General features: G+C 39.1%; 1 protein-coding gene and 1 pseudogene across 13 annotated transcripts in view; both read left to right on the forward strand.

Annotated features, from left to right (window-relative positions):
• MTR (5-methyltetrahydrofolate-homocysteine methyltransferase) overlaps positions 1–22,401 on the forward strand; it is a 108,701-nt gene that overhangs the window by 9,919 nt on the left and 76,381 nt on the right. For 12 of the 13 annotated variants that reach the window (NM_001291939.1, XM_047421186.1, XM_005273141.6 and 9 more), the window contains 9 exons: positions 945–1,034; positions 3,505–3,574; positions 5,304–5,396; positions 7,539–7,645; positions 10,405–10,464; positions 11,250–11,344; positions 18,920–19,020; positions 20,139–20,200; positions 21,630–21,697. In NM_001291939.1, coding sequence (NP_001278868.1) covers positions 945–1,034; positions 3,505–3,574; positions 5,304–5,396; positions 7,539–7,645; positions 10,405–10,464; positions 11,250–11,344; positions 18,920–19,020; positions 20,139–20,200; positions 21,630–21,697 — 746 coding nt within the window. Of the gene's footprint in view, positions 1–944; positions 1,035–3,504; positions 3,575–5,303; positions 5,397–7,538; positions 7,646–10,404; positions 10,465–11,249; positions 11,345–18,919; positions 19,021–20,138; positions 20,201–21,629; positions 21,698–22,401 lie in introns of those variants that run through there. The other variant, XM_047421187.1, reaches the window with a different exon arrangement.
• RPSAP21 (ribosomal protein SA pseudogene 21) lies at positions 14,362–15,391 on the forward strand (annotated as a pseudogene).

Genomic DNA, 22,401 nt, shown 5'->3' on the forward strand with positions numbered 1-22,401 from the left:
GTCAGATTGAGGTTGAGATGATCCAAGGAGTGGAGCCAGGGAGACGAGTTTCGAAGAGAGCACAAAGGAGCATCAAGATCTTCAGGGTTTCAGTAGGGATGTGATGCTTGTTCAGAGAGACTAGGAGATGTAGACTGAACAATTGTGGTCAGAGGTTGAGATCTCTGAGATGGTATACTTCTCGGTGGGCATCAGGTTCTGCCAAAGCAGGAAGAAGATAAGGGAACAGAACTACCATTTGTTGAGTGCCCATTGTGTGCCAGACATTTGATGCATTATCTTTTTGGTGTTGTTTTTTTGAGACAAGGTCTCACTCTGTCACTCAGGCTGGAGTGCAGTGGTGCCACCGTGGCTCACTCTAGCCCACTGTGGCTCACTTGAACCTCTGGGCCCAAGCAGTCCTCCTGCCTTAGCCTTCCGAGTAGCTGGGACTACGGGCATGTGCCACCATGCCTGGCTAATTTTTCGTGTTGTTTTGGTTAGAGACAGGGTCTTTCTATGTTGCACAGACTGGTCTTGAACTCCTGGCCTCAAGCAGTCCTCTCACCTTGGCTTCCCAAAGTGCTATGATTACAAGCGTGAGCCACCATGCCTGGCTGATGTGTTACCTTATGTTAGCATATAGCTACCCTGTGAAGTAGGGTTATAATATATTTGAATGAAGAGACTGAGACTCAGAGAGTTTAAGGGACTTGATTAAGTTCTTATAACCTTAGCATGTTAACATTGTCTGAATTCAAGTTTCGTGTTTATTTATTCATACCACGTGCCTTTCTGTGAAATCCTTACACCTTTTTGCATCTCTACCTTCTAATGCAGTGCCTTACTCTTAGTAAATGGTCAAAAGGTAGCTGCTGATAATGGTGGTAATGAAAGGGCATGTTTATTCTGGGGGCACAAGAAACTCTAAAGCTCATAATTGACATTATAATCTCTTGTTGCAGGAATACTTGCTGGCTGGGGCAGATATCATTGAAACAAATACTTTTAGCAGCACTAGTATTGCCCAAGCTGACTATGGCCTTGAACACTTGGTAAGAATTCCATTGTTCCATGTGTCTAAGATGCTTACGAGCGTTTGCTGCATTGGTAGTTGCTAGTGAGTAAAGCACTGGAAGCTGCAGAGTCAAGCTAATGCCTAGTTATCTGTTGTTTATGATGAGACAGGGAAAATGGTGTGAATCCTTCCAGCTTGTGAACACAGTGGCCCATTCATTTTCCAACTGGCTTCTTTTATGGGCAAGTAATAATCAAATATAAATGATACTTAATTATGCAGTAGCTGTTGATAAAGGCATAATCATTGGCCGTATGCACACAGTATTGTGAGGCCTTTTTAAGTATTAGATGGCAGCCTTGGTTTCTTTCTTTTTTAAAAATTGTGATTAAATAACACTAAAATTTATCATAATTATTTTTAAGTGTACACTTGAGTGGCATTAAGTACATTCACAGTATTGTGCTATCATCACCACTGTCCATTTCCAGAACTTTCTCATTTTCCAAAACTGAAACTCTGTACCCATTAAACAATACCTTCCCATTCTACCCCCAACTCCAGCCCCAGCATACTCTATTCTACTTTCTGTCTCTATGAATTTGACTATTCTAGGTACCTTAGATATGTTGAATCATATAGTATTTGGCCTTTTGTGACTAGTTTGTTTCACTTAATGTAATGTCCTCAAGGTTCATCCATGTTGTAGTATGTATCAGAATTTCCTTCCTTTTTAAGGTTGAATAATATACCATTGTGTGTATATACCACGTTTTGCTTATTCATCTGTTGATCATTTGGGTTGCTTCTACCTTTCGGCTATTGTGAATATGCAATGTTGCTATATACATGTATATATAGCATGTATTCAAGTCCCCACATTCAATTTTTTGTATATATACACAGAAGTTGAATTGTTAGATGATATGGTAATTCTGTTTAATTTTTTGAGGAACTGCCATACTGCTTTTCAGAGTGGCTGTACCTTTTTTTTTGAGGCAGGGTCTTGCTCTGTCACCCAGGCTGGAGTGCAGTGGAGTGATCTCGGCTCACTGCAACCTCCGCCTCCTGGGTTCAAGTGTTTCTCCTGCTTTAGCCCTCCAAGTAGCTGGGGCTACAGGCTTGCTCTACCATGCCCTGCTAATTTTTGTATTTTTTGTAGAGACAGGGTTTTGCCATGTTGCCCAGGCTGGTCTCCAATTCCTGAGCTTAGGTAATCTGCCCACCTCGGCCTCCCAAAGTGCTGGGATTACAGGTGTGAGCCACCGCGCCTGGCCGGCTGTACCATTTTACATTCCCACTAACAGTGAACAAGAGTGTCAGTATTTCCACATCCTCACCACCATTTATTTTCTATTTTTTTAAATAGTAGTCATCCTAATGATACTATTGGCAGATTTGATTTCCTTTTAATCGACATGATGCTTCCATATTTAAATTTTATAAAACCTTGATGATAGAAATATATGGTAGATGCTAATGTCCCCATTTTTGTTTGGCATGTTTCCAGACACATTACTCTGTTTTCAGGTAAGCAGTGTTTTCCAGTTACTTTTGTGTCATTTTAGAGCAGAAGTTGGCCAACGTTTTTTAATAAAGGGTCAGATAGTACATATTTCGGCTTTGTTAGCTACAGACAGTCTTTTGCAACTGCTCAACTCCATCATGTAGTGTGGAAGCAGCTATAGACATTATATAAATAAATGGACTTACTTTATCCCAGTAAAACTATTTACAAAAACAGGCGGTGGACCCAACTTGCCCTATGAGCCAGAGTTTGCCAGTACCTATTTAGGATATTCTGGTTGTTAAATTCCTGGATGTGGTTATTCAAGACACATAGGATCTTAGGAATTCAAAGGAACTTGAAAATCACAAGTCTAGTTTCTCCTGACTTGGTCTGTGGAAGAGCTTCTGGAGGGCCGTGAACCTCCTTAAATCATAGGCAACACTATGTGTGTATGTGCATATTTGCTTTTTATTTCCTGGTAAGAGGGTTCATAGTCCTTTATCAAATTCTCAGGTGGTTAATAATATGCAAAAAGTTCAGAATTACTGATCCCAACTGTTGTACATGAATCAAGGCCTGGAAAAGTTGCTGTGGGAACTGCCTGGCCAGGCAGTGACAGACTAGTGCTTGAACCTGCGTGTTTTGCCTCTTAAGCCTATGCTCTTTCCATTGCTTTATTTTTTTCTTAATTCTCAGAATATTTAACTACGTAAGTTATTCTCTGACATGCTAGATGTCTAGGGATTGCCCTTTTTACTGGCTAGCTCATGGTTTGGGAGGAGAACCTAAAAGCAGTTCCCAAGGACTCTTGTCTTTCCTTGCTGCCTTTCAAGTCTGGAGCTGATATGCCTGCTTGGCTAAGATTTCACTCAGACCTCAGATTAATTCACTCTACATTTTGTTACTGAAGAAAACTGAGTATTAGATGGTCATGAATCCATTATTTATTGTGCGGAGGAAAAGAAGGACAAGCTAACGTTTGTGGTTGATACGTTAGGCCTACCGGATGAACATGTGCTCTGCAGGAGTGGCCAGAAAAGCTGCCGAGGAGGTAACTCTCCAGACAGGTAGGGAATGTTCTTCTCTTTTTTTGCACACGTGGTTCCTTTGATACTGTCAGCTATAATGTGCTGTCCTTATTGCAGTTTTTCCTTATGTGGCCTTTGGCTTACGAGTAACACTGCAGAGACTGTATTTTACATGTTTGTAGATTACTTCTCTGCAGTTTCATAATCAAGCACTCAACATCTTTGAATTGATGCCAACTCTGTGGTCCTTGGGCTCGGAATTTGCTCTTTCACCCTGGGTTAGCCTGACTTTGTAGCTAGGCCCCTGACTTCCTTGTGTATTTAGAGCTGAAATAATTTATGTCTCTTTGGAAGCACATCATCATGTCATTAAAAGTAACAGCTGGCTGTTTTGATGATCTTGGCTGTTATTAGGATAATTGATCTCATTTTTTTAAAGCCACCCTCATTCCCATGATTGGCTGATATAGGTAAAGATATTGCCTTTCAAGCATTTTCCCTTTATACTATTGATGTCCTTGAAGGCTCTGTGAAGCACACAAAAAAGTGTGGCATTAGATTCAGTCTTGCTTGGACTTGAAAAGTGGCTCCTGAAATAACTAGCCTCCTGGCTGGATGCCATCAGAACACTTGGGCACCAGCTGGTAGGAGGCTTTGAGGGAGGGAAAGGAATATAAGAAATATATGTAGCCCCTTAAGACTTGGAAACGTGAAGTTATTGCCAACAGGAAAGCAGAATTGCTGTGAAGTTATACACAGCATACTAATGAAGACCAAAGCAGGAACTCTGTTTCTAAGAGATAATGTTTAAATTCATGGAAATGCATAGACTATTACTCCAACAGAGTCACAGGTCAGAGGACACTGAACCAGCTAAAGCAGGGAGAGAGAAGGACATTTTTCTTATACCCACGTTATTGGTTAGCTTTGGGGATGCAAAAGAATATTTGGGCCTGTAACCTGTTCAAAAGCTGGTTTATCAATTAGCTGATAGTCCTCTCCAGTTAAATTACAAAGCATAGCCCAGGTTATTGAGTGGCTAAAGTCATCAAAGGTAATGAGCAGTACAACCCTGGCTTCTTTAGGAATGAACACAACTTGCTACACCATTTTTAGAAGCACCTGGACTTCAGGGCAGAGGAAAAGTTATTAAAGAAAGATTTGCTCTGCTTCATACTTCAATTTCAGGCTTTATAATTGTTAATCCTGATTTAGTATTTCCTTCTAGTGAAGGGCCTGCAATATGGTACTAGAGAGCATTTCAAGTTAAATGCTACTGTAAGGTGATTTTGCAGAACTTACGTTAAGTTCAAAACCTTCAGGGCTTCATAAAAATAGGAAGAGAGGGAATTTGTCCAAACACAGCTGTGGTGATAGAAAAGGATTACTTACTGAAATGTTTTAGTTAGTTGTGTGAGAATTGAGAGTTGTGGGGACTGGTTTCGTGATGATATGTGTATATCTCCTATATGGCATAATTTCCTTAGTGGGATCTGGGGCAGCCCCATGATCAAATATATGTAAGCAGAATCTATGAATCATCTAAGTTGGATAAAGACTATAAATAGTCTCTCGTTAGTTTAGGAGAGGTCAAGTTTTATTGTCAAACTGAGAAAAAAGTTTGGGCTTTTAGAGCTTTTTGGATTTCAGAGTTGTGGACAAAAGATTATAGACCTGTGTTCCAGAAAAAAATCTTATTGGCTATTCATTCACGACAAAAAATGTTCAGCCACTTAGAGATCTCACACTTGTTTTTCTTTTCCCAAAGGAATTAAGAGGTTTGTGGCAGGGGCTCTGGGTCCGACTAATAAGACACTCTCTGTGTCCCCATCTGTGGAAAGGCCGGATTATAGGAACATCAGTGAGTATTTACCACATATAATCATTGATCTTGGGGAAGTACTCCCCAAGCTTCAGTAAGCTATAAATCTGTAAAATGGAATCAATAACAGGATCTACCTTAGAGTTACTGTGATTTAATCCATGTAAAACGTGTACAGCAGTGCCTGGAATATAGTAGACATCTAAATAGAAAGTTAGCTATGATGATTATTATTATTTGAACTTGCTTTCAAATATATATGGTGGTGTGTTAATGCTGCTTTGTCAGCTGTGGAAATAAAACCAACTAAAATAAAGCTGTAAACTCAGAAGTTGAACAAATTTGGATACTAGGTTTGTGGTCTATTATAAAATAGCACACAATATCCTCATTTATCAGAAGGCAGTCCAAACTATCTAGACATCTGTATTAGTCCATTTTCACACTGCTGATAAAGGCGTACAAGACTGGACAATTTACAGAAGAAAGAGAGGTTTAATGGACTTACAGTTCCATGTGGCTGGGGAAGCCTCACAATCATGGCAGAAGGCAAGGAGGAGCAAGTCACGTCTTACACGGATGGTAGCAGGCAAAGAGAAAGCTTGTACAGGGAAACTCCCCCTTATATAACCATCAGATCTCGTAAGACTTATTCACTCTTATAAGAACAGCACAGGAAAGACCTGCCCCCATGATTCAATTACCCTCACCAGGTCCCCTCTCACAACACGCGGGAATTCAAGACGAGATTTGGGTGGGGACACAGCCAAACCATATCAACATGTTAGCATTATACATGTTATAAACTACCATATATAAACATACTTATATTGAGATCTGACAAAACATCCAAGTATCTAGGTCAATTTCTAAGCATCAAGACTATAGAAAACAAAAAGCATTAAAATATCAGAGCTGAATAGTCATGATACCATGTCTGGTAGTGCAGTGGGTGGAGATGATGAGATCAAGCAAATATGGTTTGTAGGTTTTTGGTTTATGGAACTTTGTGTGCTGTGATACCACACTTTTTCACTAGGAGTTGTTCATACCAGGCTTATGTGTTGTTGATGCTCTCTTTGGTCTAGACCTGCCAGTGGGGAGCTAACTTACCCTTGCTCTTGGGCTGTACAAGGTGAAGTACGGTAAGTCTTCACTTAACGTCATTGGCAGGTTTTTGAAAACTGCATCTTTAAGCAAAATGATGCATAGCAGGCCCTCAAATAATGTCATTTCCTTCAACAGAATTTCATTATAATGTTGATTAGAAAGAAAATACTGGTTTTGTTACATATTGTCTCAGTCAAAGTTGCAATTTCTGAGAACCTGTCAACGATGTTACAAGAGGACTTTGTTGTGTAGGCTTCTCTGTTGGATATCTGAGCATTATCTTGGCTTACTGCAGCCTCCACCTCCTGGGTTTGAGCGATTATCCTGTCTCACTCTCCCCAGTAGCTGGGGCTACAGGCGTGTGCCATCACGCCTGGCTAATTTTTATATTTTTAAAGTAGAGTTGGGGTTTCACCATGTTGGCCAGGCTGGTCTTGAACTCCTGACCTCAAGTGATCTGCTCACCCCAGGCCCCCACAGTGCTGGCGTGAGCCACTGCACTGGGCCAACCCAAGACATTTCTAACAAAAATTTTACCTAGGAGTGATTGAACACTTTTTGTTTGAGACTGAAATTGCTCACCAGACAGGTTTCTTCTCTGACAGAGTTGGTGTAAGAGCAGAGACAAAATCTGCGGGCTTGCAGCCCTTTATCACAGAGAGTGACTTCTACTCAACCTGTGACCTCTCTGCATCAGTGTGGCATGTTTCTCACAGCCATCTCTTAACCGGTTGATTGAAATGAGCTATGGAAAGAATGATATGTTTCAGAGATGTTGAATGGGGGGTACATGTTCAAGAAATTCATACGCCTTCCCTCTCACTCCTCAGCTCATACATGGGAAGTGGAAGTTACGTGGCAGGTGTTTAGGAACAGCTGCCTTCAGCTTACTTGTTTACCTTCTGTCCCTGCCACCTTTCTTTATTTGGTTTCTTACAAAAGATCATGTTCTTAAACTATGCATTGTAAACCAGCAATAGTTCACAGGTGCCAGACCTACACTCGAGATACCCTAGGGCCATTCAGAGGATATTGATGACTGATGTGCTGGGTGTGATTTATTTTTTGCAGCATTTGATGAGCTTGTTGAAGCATACCAAGAGCAGGCCAAAGGACTTCTGGATGGCGGGGTTGATATCTTACTCATTGAAACTATTTTTGATACTGCCAATGCCAAGGTGAGTTAAGGGAGAAAAAACAGACAAGGCTGGGGTAAGGGCTGTGGGTGAGTCCCCTAATGTAGGGAGAAGATAATATTAGCCATTATCAAAGTTAAATAAATTACCTGTATTTGCTCCATTTTATTCTTGAGTATTTTTAACTGAGGCCAGTACAATAAGAAAAACTTTAAACCTGCTTTTGAAGCTTTTAAAATAACTTTTTTCTAATTATGAAAATAAATATTTTCATATATAGCTAGTATAAATGCATATATCCTGAGGTAATACATGCTGCTGGTTCTAAATTTGAAAGATACATAAATATATGGAGTGAAAAGTGAATATCCTTTCCTTTCCTAGTCTCTAGTTATCCAGCTCCCTTTCCTGATACAACCACTATTACCAGTTTGGGGGTCCTGACAGATGCGATACAGATATAGGCATGTGTGTATGTGTGTGTTTGTGTTCCTTACATACATGCAAAGGCACATAAGTGTATATGGAGAGAGAAGCAAATATCCTTATACATACGTTTTTACACAGTGTATCTGTAGGATACATTTCTACAAGTTAAATTGCTGAATCAAAGGGTATATGCGTTGTTAATTTTTATCTTTAGTGTCAAATTACCCTCATTTGCGACTGGACTCATTTATACTCCCTTCAGCAAGCAATGTACAATAGTCCTGGTTTCACGACACCCTCACTAGCACTGTGTATTATTAAACTGTTTGACCTTTTCCAGTTTGACAGGTGGTACCTCACTGTAGTTTTAATTTGTATTTTTCTTACTACTAATGTAATTGAGCATCTTTCTTCAGTTTTAGAGCCATTTATATTTCATTTTCTATGATTTATGTCTTCTGTCCTTTTTTTCTATTGGACTTTGGCTTTTTAAAATTGAGTCCTTTACTGAGGAAATCAGGCCCCTCTCAATAATAAGTAGCAGCTCCTGTCCTCCAGTTTGTTTGACATTTGACTTTCTTTATGGTGGTGATGGTGGTAGTGTTGTGTTATTGTTAGTTTGTGTGTGCGTTTTAATGGTGTAGGAGAATTTTTCTTAAATGTTGTGTGGTTGAATTTACAGATTCTATTTTTTTGTTGTGGGAGGGGGAGACTACACTTACAGAGCCACTCCTCAGTTGAAGAGAAGAAAAAAATGGAAAAATGGCCTTTTCCTCCGTAGTACTTTACAGTTTCATTAAATGTTTCATTGTTGTGGGAATCAGACCACAGGTCCAGAATTTTTGAACTTTTCAAAAAAATCGTTTTCTAAAATACTTGCAAGCAGGAAGAACGTAGAGAGCCACTACCAGCCTGAAGCTAGATGACCACCCTACCTCATTCTTAACACATCACTTTCACTGGGTTCTTTTTTATATGTCTTTTTAGAAATTGTTTTGTGAATCTGCAGTAAACAAATTATAATTTGAAAAGGAATTCAGATACACATTTTGAAAATGAGAGCAGTAACAAGATAAGGAATATATCTGAAATGAGATTCGTATATACATCTGGAGAGAGTCACGGTATTGTTCAGATTAGAAATAAGAGGGATTAACAGGAGGGTTAAGCATTAAGGATAGGTTTTGTTGAGTTTCTAAGTTTTCGAATGTGTGGCATACATTATGATTATATGGAACTAATGTCCCTCACGGTGCATCTTGTATTTATTTTGGAGTGAGAAATAGAATCGAGAGCTAACTTTTTTCCTTTAAAGTTTAGTTTTCCTACCACCATCTATTAAACATCCTGTTATTTCACAGTGATAGGAATGATGTGGAGCATTATCCTTATCATCCAAAATTCTGGAGTGCATTTGGATCTAGTGTTTTCTATCAATCTGTCTGCTGATGTGGCACTACTGCACCATTTACCACAACATTAGAATATGTCTGAGTAACTGGTTGGCTTAGATTTTTTGCATTGAGTCCCACCCCATTTTCCAGAACTTTCATGGCTATTCTTATATGTTTGTTTTCCGTAAGATCTTTAGGATCAATTTGTCTAGTTCTAAAGAGGAAATTCTGATATTATTGATTTAGTAACTTTCCATGAAAAAAACCTACCATCACAGGAAAGATGCACATTAATTACAGGTTGCATTCTGATTTCAGAGAATTAATTGTGAAAACATACATATCTTAGAATCAAGAAATATAATGATAAAAAAGAAGATCCATTATCTGGAACTTAAAATGTGGACTGAACAGCACAGAATGACATAGGATTTGTACCTTTACTACCTAATCTAAGCTCATGCTGTTTTTCGCAATGATGGATACTGTTGGTTCATATACCTACCATGTGTATGAAAGGATGTGAAAGGCAGGGACATTCTTATTTATTTATTTTTGAGACAGAGTCTTGTTCTGTCATCAGGGCTGGAGTGCAGTGGCATAATCACAGCTCAACTGCAACCTTGAGCTCCTAGGCTCAGGCAGTCGTCCTGTCTCAGCCTCCTGAGTGTTACTTATTTATTTTTAATTTTTATTGAAGAAAGGAAGAAAGAATACCCCTTCAGCTCCTCCTCAGTGGAAATACTAGTTCCTAGGTGAACTTTCAGTCAGCTTTTGTTTTGTTTCAATATGCACAGTATTACACTTGAGAAAGGGGTGCTGGGGTTGTGCCTTATAAGGAAGACACTTCTTCCCAGAGAGCTTGATGTATATCTTATCTGAAGAGGTCTTAGAAAAGGGTGCATTCTAATCAGGAAGTTAGACTAATCTTGGACACACTCTCAGAAATAAAGACGTTCTTTCTTTTTTCCCTGACAGGCAGCCTTGTTTGCACTCCAAAATCTTTTTGAGGAGAAATATGCTCCCCGGCCTATCTTTGTAAGTTCTAAAGTGTTTGCACAATACATTCTTTTATTAATAATTGTCCTTTTGAGCATGTTTTTCCCCCGCTTTGCATAGTAGAACTATTAATGGTATCTTTAGAACTCATCTACTTTAACTTCCATTGTTCACTTCCCTTCCACCACTTCTGGACCAATAACAGTCTTATATCTGGAGAGGCAAGGAAAATGAATCTAGAAGTAGCTGATGGAAGGCAAACTGTTCAAAAGAAGCCCACTGTATTGGTCCTTGAAGCCAAAGGCTTCAAGGCTCAGTCTCATTAGGGCCCAAGGAGGGGTGGACTTGCATGCTGATGGCCACATACCCAACACCTAAGACACCAGACTGCCAATTTATTAACTCAGTAGGCAGACCTCTCTGCGAGTCCTAAAATTGCTTGGTGAGAAGCGAATTGAATCAAAACAAGGGTGTTAGATAAATCCAATGTTTAACAGCAGGAGGTCAGGATGACTTGATGTTATCTCTGGGAAATCTGCCTCTAATGAGACTGGATGTGTGAATTCCAAAGTTGTTTTGGTCATTGCTTTTGCTACAGTGACTTTCCCTTGTCTCTGTTTCTGTGGCTTCCTGCCTCTTTCCCTAGTCTCTTGGCACATGTCTGTTCTGACTATTATAGAAAGTGCCCCCTTTGAATTTGAGTTCCACATTTCTTTTCCTTGTAAAAGAGCAAAGGAAGTCAGTGTGTTCATTTTATTTTGCCTTTATATCTATATTCTTAACTTGAGTCTGTATTGTTGACTTTGTTTACTTTGTCAATTCAGATTTCAGGGACGATCGTTGATAAAAGTGGGCGGACTCTTTCCGGACAGACAGGAGAGGGATTTGTCATCAGCGTGTCTCATGGAGAACCACTCTGGTGAGTGATCCATCTTTCTGTAACTTCTTTTCTTTTTTGGGGAACCTTTTCTGATGGCTGTGGAGTGTGACCTGGGAGGGGATTGCTTCTACATATTTTCACTGTACCACTTCTGCTATATTGACTTTCCTTTAAGTACTTTCAGACTTTTCCCTAAAGGTTTCAGAAGATCGCTGCCTAAACGGGTCAATTTGAGGGACTGGGAGAGTTCTCATACTTACAAATGGTTGCCTGTTTTCTGTAGGCGTGCCCCTTATAGTTTGCAGTGCTTTGCAAATTTTAGGGCAGTGACACTCCCTATTTATGAGGCAACCAGAAGCAATCTGTCATGGAATAAGGTGGGAATTCTAAAGCTCAGGTTTTTATCTGTAAAGTGAACATGGCAGTTGGCATGGTGGTGTGGGCCTGTAGTCCCAGCTACTTGGGAGGTGGAAGCAGGAGAGGATCTCTTAAGGCCAGGTGTTGGAGGCTGTAGTATACTATGATAGCTCCTATGAATAACCACTGTATTTCAGCTTGGCCAACATAGCAGGATCTGTCTCTAAAGAATTAAATTAACATGACTTTTACAATCTGCTTAAAAATAACTCCCTATTTATATTTTATTTTTCATATCCAAATGTTTTAAATTGTGTACTTTGAGTGACATGGAAGAGTATCTGAGTATATATGCTGTTTTTTGCCTGGACTTTTTTTATTTCTGGGCTTTTTTCTTCTATTCCTACTGCCTGGAAGCTATGCTGGTCCCCTTCCCCCTTTCCCCCCTTTCCCTCCTCCATACCTGTTCACTCTGCTGACTTCTTCTTAGCCTTTAAGACTCATCTCAAGAATCTTCCCTCCAGAGAACATTCCCTCTCTCACTAGCGCAGGTCGATGTTCTTCGTTTACTTTTATTTTAGCTTTTGCCATAAAAAGTAAGAGTAATAGACATTTGTTGAGAGTTTGCTGTGTGCCAGGCTCTGTTCTAAGTGCTTTATGTGAATTCTTTAATTCTGGCAATAACACCTTGAGGGTAGGTACTGGTATTAATGTCCCCATTTTAACAAGAAGGGTACTGAGACTCAGAGGTTGTAACTCGCCCAAGGTGAAGTAAATAGAGGATCTGGGGACAGGAGCATGCTTTTAACCCCTGTGTTAGATCACATTTTATCAATTATGTGATGTTCTTTTTTTTCACACTTAAATGTTTATAATTACAGGGTGCATCTTACAGTTGACTTAATGTCATATTGTGATTTCTTAAAAGGTGCTATTAATTTTAAGTGCATTAATAGACATTTGATTGGGCCTGACGACTAAGAAAATCATTGTCTTGAACTGGGTTGTGATGACCTCCTTTACAGCTTATGAGTTTTTCCTGAGCAGTCTCTTCATCTTTATTTCTGTAGTGTTTAGTGGAATTCTTGGCACATAGTAGGGATGTCATAAACGTTTAACAAAAAAACTGAGGGTAGGAAATGTAGAGGTCTCTGAAGACAAACTTTATCTAGTTTATTTAAATTTTTGTGCCTATCTGTGAGTATTTGGAGCATTCCTCCCTTCGCTTTCTCTTTTCCCGCCCCTTTGCTAAGTCTGAATTTGTTATGTGGTTAAGTAAATGACACTGTAATGGATATATGTTACTCATGATGTATTTGTCAAAACCCACAAAATATACAAAACCAAGAATGAACCCTAATGTAAACCATAGACTTTAGTTACTAATCATGTATTGCTATTGGTTCACATTCTAATAGGTGTACCACACCAGTGTGAGATCTTAATAATAATGATATAGTCTTTCCTAGCGATTAGGTAAAACCTCTGTGTTGTCCTGGGTGTCACTGGAGTCTTTAGTTTGCTGACAGTTCTCAAGGGCCCCTTAGAGGACGTTCTTCCTGCCACTGCCTCACCTCCAGGAGCCCCAAGATGAGGTTTTATCGAGGTCTAAATAATTTATGTTTTTATTTCTTAAGCAAACATTCAGTTCTGACTTTTGATCCACTCAGTGGTTAATTAAAAATTTTTAAAAATAATCCTTTCTATGACTTCAGCTACAGTCCATTCACAGAGAGAATGTATTTGCTCTCTATTTCGTTACGAATCTTACAGACTGTAGGGGCAGATAGAAGGCAGCAAATAATATGTGAAAAGGATACATTTTCTTACATATATGTAGGAAACTTTTGCTTACTGACTTGTGATTATCACGAACTATAGAACAGTGGGATAGAGCCTTTATATTACTGGTAATTCATCAAATATTTATTGAAATACTACTATATGTCCTGGAATACAGTCCAATCTGGAATAGTCCACACTAGGAGAAATGCATAAGTGAATTAAAATATAAAATACACAGTGCTATACAGAACTATGAATAAAAATCTGGCAATACATAGGAGTAATGGAGTTCTTGTAGAATTTAGAGACAGCTTGTAAAGAAGGTGACATTTGAGCTAGGTTTTGAAAATGGGAGACAGAGTTTTCTTTTTTTCTTTTGAGATGGAGTCTCAAAATTCTCTCATTATCAACAGCTTGCATTGGTGTGGTACACCTATTACAATATGAACCAATATCAATACATTATTAACTGAAGTCTGTAGTTTACCTTAGGGTTCATTCTTGGTTTTGTATATTCTGTGGGTTTTGACAAATATATCATGAGTAACATATATCCATTACAGCATCATACAGAGTAGTTTCATTGCCCCAAAAGTCCCTTGTGCTCCAGTTATTTATTCTTTTTCCTGGCCTGCTGGCAACAAATCTTCTCACTGTCCTATAGTTTTGCTGTTTCCAGAATGGTATATAGTTGAGACCACATAGTATGTAGCCTTTTCACATTGGCTTCTTTCACTTAGTGATCTTCATTTAAGGTTCATTCATGTCTTTGTAGGCTCGATAGCTTATTTCTTTTTAACGCTAAATAATATTCCGTTGCGAAGATGTACGGTGGGTTTTTTTCCCATTCATGTATTGAAGACCATCTTGGTTGCTTCGAAGTTGTAGCAATTACAAATAAATCTCCCATGGCCTTTCCATGCTACTCACAGAGGGGTCCATCCGGCGTTGTTCTGGATTCCCATGTAACTTAAAGGGAAACTTTCACAATGTCCAGAGCCCCTGATGTCCTGCAAATGAAAGAGGAGGATGTCCTTAAGTTCCTTACAGCAGGAACCCATTTAGGTGGCACCAAACTTGACTTCCAAATGAAGCAGTACATCTATAAAAGGAAAAATGATGGGATCTACATCATAAATCTGAAGAGGACCTGGGAGAAGCTACAGCTGGCGGCTTGTGCCATTGTTGCCATTAAAAACCCTGCTGATGTCAGTGTCATATCCTCCAGGAATACTGGCCAGAGGGCCGTGCTGAAGTTTGCTGCTGCCACTGGAGCCACTCCAGTTGCTGGCCGCTTCACTTCTGGAACCTTCACTAACCAGATCCAGGCAGCCTTCCGGGAGCCATGGCTTCTTGTGGTTACTGACTCGAGGGCTGACCAGCAGCCTCTCATGGAGGCATCTTTATGTTAACCTGCCTACCATTGCGCTGTGTAACACAGATTCCCCTCTGCGCTATGTGGACATTGCCATTGCATGCAACAAGGGAGCTCACTCGGTGGGTTTGATGTGGTGGATGCTGGCCTGAGAAGTTCTGCACATGCGTGGCACCATTTCCTGTGAACACTTGCGGGAGGTCATGCCTGATCTCTGCTTGTACAGAGATCCTGAAGAGATTGAAAAAGAAGAGCAGGCTGCTACTGAAAAGACTGTGACCAAGGAGGAGTTTCAGGGTGAATGGACTGCTCCAGCTCCCGAGTTCACTGCTACTCGGCCTGAGGTTGCAGATTGGTCTGAGGCATGCAGGTGCCCTCTGTGCCTATTCAGCAGTTTCCAGCTGAAGACTGGAGCACTCAGCCTGCCACGGAAGACTGGTCTGCAGCTCCCACTGCTCAGGCCACTGAATAAGTAGCAGCAACCACTGAATGGTCTTAAGCTGTTCTTACCTGGGCTGTTAAGTAACATGGAAATAAGGCTGATGGAAAATAAGCGTCAGTTTCTTAAAAAAAAAAAAAAAAAGTTTCCGTAAACATTCATGGCAGGTTTTTGTGTAGACATAAGTTTTAATTCATTTGGGTAAATAGCAAGGAGGGGATTGCTGTATCTTATGGTAAGACTGTGTATCTTGTGAGAAACTGCCAAACTATCCTCCAAAGCTGCTGTTCCATTTTGCATTCCTACCAGCAGTGAAGGAGAGTTCCTGTTGTTCCGCATCCTTCCCAACATTTGTTTGGTGGTGTCAGTTTCAGATTTTAGCCATTCTAATAGGTGTATAGTGGTATCTTGTTGTATTTGCAATTCCTTAAAAACATGATAATTTTGAGCATCTTTTCATATGCTTACTTGCTATCTGTATATCTTCTTTGGTGAGGAGGCTGGTCAGCTCTTTAGACAGTTTTTAAAATTGCGTTTGTTGTTGAATTTTAAGAATTCTTTGTATATTTTGGATGCAAGTCTGTCATATTCTACTTTCTATCGCTATAACAGAATACCTGAGATGGTAATTTATAAAGAAAAGAGATTTATTTAGCTCACAGTTCTGGAGGCGGGGAACTTCAAGATTGAGTAGCCACATCTGGCAAGGGCCTTGTGCTGCTTCGTAGCATGGCAGAAAAGTGAAAGGGCACGTTAGCATGTGTGAAAGAGAGGGGACAAGAGACTGTTTTGCTTTATAACGACCCGTTCTTGAAAGAACTAATTTATTCCCTTGAGAACTAATTCAGTCTCCAGGGAACTAACACAGTCTCTGGAGAAAGACAGTAATCCATCTTAATGATCTGATCATCTGTAAAGGCCCCACCTTCCAACGCTGTTTCATTGGCATTTAAATTTCAACATGAATTTTGGCATGGACAAACCACATCCAAGCTATAGCAAATCCTTTATCAGATAATGTGTTTTGCAAATATTTTCTCCCAGCCTGTGGTTTGTCTTCTCATGTACTTAATACTGTCTTTTGCTGAACAGTTTTAAATCTTAGTGAAGTTCTAGTTACCAGTTTTTTTTCTTTCATGGACCCTGCCTTTGTTGTTTTACCTAAAAACTCATTGCCAAACCCACGATCATCTAAATTTTTTCTGTGTTATTTACAAAATTTTAATCGTTTTGCAATTTATATATAGGTCTGTGTTCCATTTTGAGTTAGTTTTTGTGAAAGATGTAATGTCTGTCTAAATTAACTTTTTCAAATGCAGATGCCCAGTTGTTCCAGCACCATTTATTGGAAAGAATATCTGTTCTCCATTGGATTGCCTGTGTTTCTGTCAAAGATTAGTTGAATGTATTTGTGTGGTTCTATTTCTGGACTCTATTCTGTTTCATTAATCTATTTGTCTCTTCTTACACCAATTCCACATTGTCTTGATTGCTTTAGCTTTTTAGTAAGTCTTGGAGTTGGGTAGGTCAGTCCTTCAACTTTTGTTTTTTCTCTCATTATTGTGTTGGCTGTTCTGGGTCTTTTGTCTCGCCATATAAACTTTAGAATCAGTTCGTTGATATTCACAAAGTAACTGCTGGGATTTTCATTGGGATTCTGTTGAATATAGATCAAGGGTGAGAAATGATATCTTAACAATATTGTCTTCCTCTTCATAAACTTGAAATATGTTTTCATTTATTTAGATCCACTTTGATATCTTAAATTGGAATTTTATAGTTTTTTTCATATAGATCCAAATATTTCATTTGTTTTGGTGCTAGTGTAAATGGTTTTGTGGGGTTTTTTTTGTTTTTTTTTTTTTTTGAGACAGCATCTTGCTGTGTCACTCAGGCTGGAGTGCTGTGGTATGATCATGGCTCACTGCAGCCTCAACCTCCCAGGCTTAATTGATCCTTCTACCTCAGCCTCCTAAGTAGCTGGGACTACAGGTGTGCGCCACCATGCCTGGTTAATTTTTTTATTTTTTGCAGAGGTAGGGTTTTACTGTGTTGCTCAGGTTGGTCTCAAACTCCTGGGCTCAGGTGATCCACCTGCCTTGGCCTCCCAAAATGCTGAGATTACAGGCATGAGCCACTGTGCCTGTCCTGTGTTTTTAATTTCAAATTTTGATTGCTCATATCTGGTATATAAGTAAACAATTGAGTTTTGTATAGTTACCTTGTATTTTGAAACCTTGGTATAATTGCTTGTTAGTTCAAGGAGTTTTTAGTGATTCTCTGGGATTTTCTACATAAACAATCATGTCATTTGTGAAGAAAGACAGTTTTATTTCTTCCTTTCCAATCCGTATGTGTACCTTTTACTTTCTATCTTTTCTTATTGCATAGGGACTTCAAATACAATATTGAATAAGAGATGAGAGTGGATATCCTTGCCTTGTTCCTCATCTTAGCATTAAAGCATCTAGTTTCACATGATTAAGCATGATACTAGCTGGAAGTTTTTTGTAGATACTCTTTATCAAGTCAAGGAAATTTCCCCCTATTCCTAGTTTGCTGAATTTTTTTAATGAATGAGTATTGGATGTTTGTTAAATAAACTTAATTTTGGAATCATTTCAGATTTGCAGAAGAGTTGCAAAGATAGTGCAGAGAATTTCTATATATTCTAGTTTTCATGTTAACATAATGCATGACTATGGTACTTTTGTAAAAACTAAGAGTATATTACTATAGGTTGAGTATCCCTCATCTGAAATGCTTGGGACCAGAAGTGTTTTTGGATTGCAGAGTTTTTCGAATTCTGGAATATTTGTACTATACTTACAGTTTAGCATCCTTAATCTGAAATCTAATATGGTCCAGTGAACATTTCTTTTGTGGGTCATGTCAGTTCTCAAAAAGTTTCATATTTTGAAGTATTTTGGATTTCCAGTTTTCAGATTAGGGATATTTAACCTATATTAACTAAACTGCAGACTTTATTCAGATTTCAAGGATTTTCCACTGATAATCTGTTTTCTATTCAAGGATCCAGTCTAGGATGCCACATTGCACTTAGGAATCACAGTAAAAGGAAAAAAGTAAAATGTGATAACATTAGAGATCACATAGTCTAGTAGCTTCATAGTTGGTTCATAAATTCTGGAAGACCTCAGGCCCACCACCCACTGACAACCTTATAGGGTAGCAGGGACTCTGCCTGTGGGGTAGAGCATAAGTCCTGGTCTGGTCTCGTGGACTTCAAGAGTGGCTTCTTGCCACCATTCTGTGTTCTTTCTGCCTCCAAGATTTCCTTTTCCTTTCTTTTAAATTTTGCTTTCAGGTCAGATCTTTTTTTTTTTTTTTTTTTTTTTTTTTTTTTTTAGCAGTGTTAGTTTGCTGACATTTCTGTACCATAGAATACCATGTGAACTGATTTGAGGAGTCCACCCACAGGCAGCGTCTTTCAGCTGTAGGATTATCTGAATGGCAAAAATCTTTAGTGCTGCAGGGGACCTCAGTGAGATGGCTTTGATGGTAGTTGAATAAAAGTGCTTTGAATGAGGAGATTTATTATCCACTTGGTTTTAGATATATTGTCTCCATATATAACTTATATGCATAAATATGAATGAGAGATGATGCTTTTAATATGTTTTTTCTGTTTTTCTAGCATTGGATTAAATTGTGCTTTGGGTGCAGCTGAAATGAGACCTTTTATTGAAATAATTGGAAAATGTACAACAGCCTATGTCCTCTGTTATCCCAATGCAGGTGTGTGTTTCAAGGGGGTCACACATGGGGAGATAAAAATAACATAAGACATGGCATAGATGAGGTAAGAGATCTTGAATAAAAGATCTTGTTTTGCCGGTGTTGGTATAGTTGACACTTAATAAATGAAGAGTGTCTGGGTGCAGTGTTTCCCTGTAGACCTGAGGGAAGTTCGGCTCACCCTGAAGCTTCAGAATAGTACAGAACTTCCGGAAATGAGCTTAGTCACATAACTGACCAGAGCTTTGCCTTTGGTGACAGCACAAGCCTGGTGGACGTGACCAGAAAGATGGGTGTAAGGAAGAGAAGAGAGACCCCTTTCTCTGGTCCACTCTGTTAGTAGAAGAGCAAAAGAAGAATCTTGTGTGGTGTTACCTTTTTCTTCTCTGAAAGCTTGGACTTGCAGTTCATTATATGGAAATGTTTTGAAGATATTTGTAGACAGTTCTCAAACTGTCCCATTAAATATTGGTAATTTGTTCAGGGTTAACCAGATATCCCTGTGAATGTATTTGAGCACTGCTTAGCTACTTAGAGCAAAAAGTCATTTTCCAGCCTCTTTTCTCCAAATGTGTCATTTTAATGCACAATAAATTTTATTTCCCACCAGGAGTAAGATAACTGGAAGCAGATAATAAATAAAACAAGAAACTGGATTGTTATAAGCTGAAGTCTTACTTGGGAAAATTTATTTGAAAGGAGACTGGTTGATTTTTGTTTGTTTTTAATGGCATGTTAGTTGCGCATTAGTTCAAAGGTTATGTAGTATTCCTTCCACCCCCACCCCCAAGCGGCTATGTAACAAGAATGAATGAATTTCCCTTATGGGAAGGGGTGGGGTTGGGGGTATTCTGTTCTGCCTAACAGTGAATATTTTCTTTCAAACGGAAAAGAAATAATGGAGTTCATTTTCCTCTGTGATTTTTTTTTTTTTTTTTTAGTTTTTTGGGGGGTGTGGTATCTCTTTGTTTACTGTGTGAATATTATGTGTTTGTTTTTGCAAGTAGTCACCATTTAATATAAATATAAAATTATATAGTTATTAACATAAAGTCTTTAAAAATACAGTGTATATTTTTAAGGCAATTTGCAATAATGGTTGAATTATCCTTTCTCAGGTCTTCCCAACACCTTTGGTGACTATGATGAAACGCCTTCTATGATGGCCAAGCACCTAAAGGTCAGGGGTCCCCCTTTCACTGGCTTTTTAAGAGAGACAGAAAGATTGAATTTTAGATTTAGAGTATTTAGAAGGAGAATTTTCCCTGAAGAAATCCCAATGTACATATAACAAAGAAAAGTTTAGCTATCCCAAATTAAGGTACTAGAGGCACAGGGGAGGGCTAACTGTCAGCATCCTTATCCTCAGCTGGCACTAGTGGCTGCTGGAAAATTCTCGTTGAGGTCCACTCCAAACTAATTGAGACTTGGCTCTCCTCTGAGATGTTGCTTCCCCTGCAGCCTTCCCAAATTGTAGCTTTCTGCCCTCACACCCCTCAGACTGCTGGGTGGAGTAGATGTCCCCCTGGCCGCCCATTGTCACCTCCATGATTCTCGCTGTCTGTCATACACTGGCCATTGTTAAATCCTAGGTCATGAGACCATACTATCCACTGCTGCTTCTTATTGCACTTAGCTACTAATCCCTGGGTCTCTTTCCCCTTATTCCTTGAATTTTTAGCTTCTGTTTCACTGACATTCTCTCTTAGGCTATTTCTGACTTACTTCTTATGATTTCATTATCTTTGTAGACAATCTTTCCAATACTCTTGACTTCTCAGCTCCTTGACTTTGTCTCTTAGTTATGGTGTTCTTTATTCAGTAGCCTATGGTTAAACTCTAGTCTCATGCTGTCCCATATGTAGCCACTACCATATGGTTTTTGGAGCCCTTGAATTGTGGCCAGTGTGACAGAGGAACTGAATTGTTATTTAAACATTTTTTCAATTAATGTAAATTTAAAAATCAATACTCTATTTTGTGTTATTTGAAAATGTGTTATCCAACTCATATTCATTCAGCTCAGCATGTGGGTAAAAAAGTCATTAGATAGGCAAATCTCCCACTGAACTTTATTTTTTGTGTTTATTTTTTTGAGACAGGGTCTTGCTGTGTTGCTCAGGCTGAAGTTCAGTGGTGTGATCATAGCTTACTGTAGCTTTGAACTCCTGGGCTCAAGCGATCCTCCCACCTAGCCTCCTGAGTAGCTGGGACTATAAACACATGCCACCATGCCCAGCTAATTTTTAAATTTTTTGTAGAGATGAGGTCTTGCTATATTGCCCAGGCTGGTCTCAAATTCCTGGCCTCAAGTGATCCTCCTGCCTTTGCCTCCCAAAGTGCTGAGATTATAGGTGTGAGCCACCATACCCAGCCTCTCACTGCATTTTAAATGGTATAAAGGATTTCACAGCATCTGAACTATTCTTTGCTTTTATCCTATGTCTAGGGCATGTGATATCTTTGTATCTAGAGTTAAGTATGTTTGACTCTCTTTTTAGTATAGTCTTAGTTATTCAGGAAGTATAGACGGCTTTTATGTTGAATTGGTGGTAATGAGTTTAGAATTCAAGTGAACTTGCTGAAACTTTGTCTCTTCCTAAATGCAGGATTTTGCTATGGATGGCTTGGTCAATATAGTTGGAGGATGCTGTGGGTCAACACCAGATCATATCAGGTAATAATCACCTATAGACAATATATCTAAAACCAAGTGGATAATCAGGTAATAATCTAAATATGTACTTTTTGTTATGGGCTGAATTGTGTCCTTCCAAAATTTGTATGTTGAAGTTCTAACCCCTACTGTTTCAGAATGTGGGCTGTATTTGGAGATGAGGCCTTTAAAGAGGCGACTAAGGTAAAATGTCATACAGGTGTACCTAATCCAACATGATTGGTGTCCTTTTAAGAGCAGGACACAAATGCGCACACAGAGGCAAGCAAGACCGTGTCAAGACACAGGGAAGAATAGCTATCTACAAGACATGAAAGAGGCCTTAAAAGAAACTAACCCTGCCTGACGCCTTCAACTCAGACTTCTGTCCTCCAGATTGTGAGAAAATACATTTCTGTTATTTAAGCCACCCAATCTTTGGCACTTTGTTATGGCAGCCCTTCCTAACAAGCTCATACACCTTTATATTATGAAACATTTTAGAGAAATAATAAAATGGACCTCTATATGCCTGTCACATGGTTGCCATAATTTTCAATGTTTTTCCATTCTTATTTCATCTATCCCTCAACTTTTCCCCCTGGATTATGTAAAGTAAATCCCAGATATTATGATATTCTATCCTTAAATACCTGAGTAATATTTGAATGCTCAAAGAGGACAGCTCATATTTATTGTGGGCAAATACAGGCCTCCATTAGATT

Source organism: Homo sapiens, chromosome 1 (genome assembly GCF_000001405.40).
Source record: "Homo sapiens chromosome 1, GRCh38.p14 Primary Assembly".
NCBI lineage: Eukaryota > Metazoa > Chordata > Mammalia > Primates > Hominidae > Homo > Homo sapiens.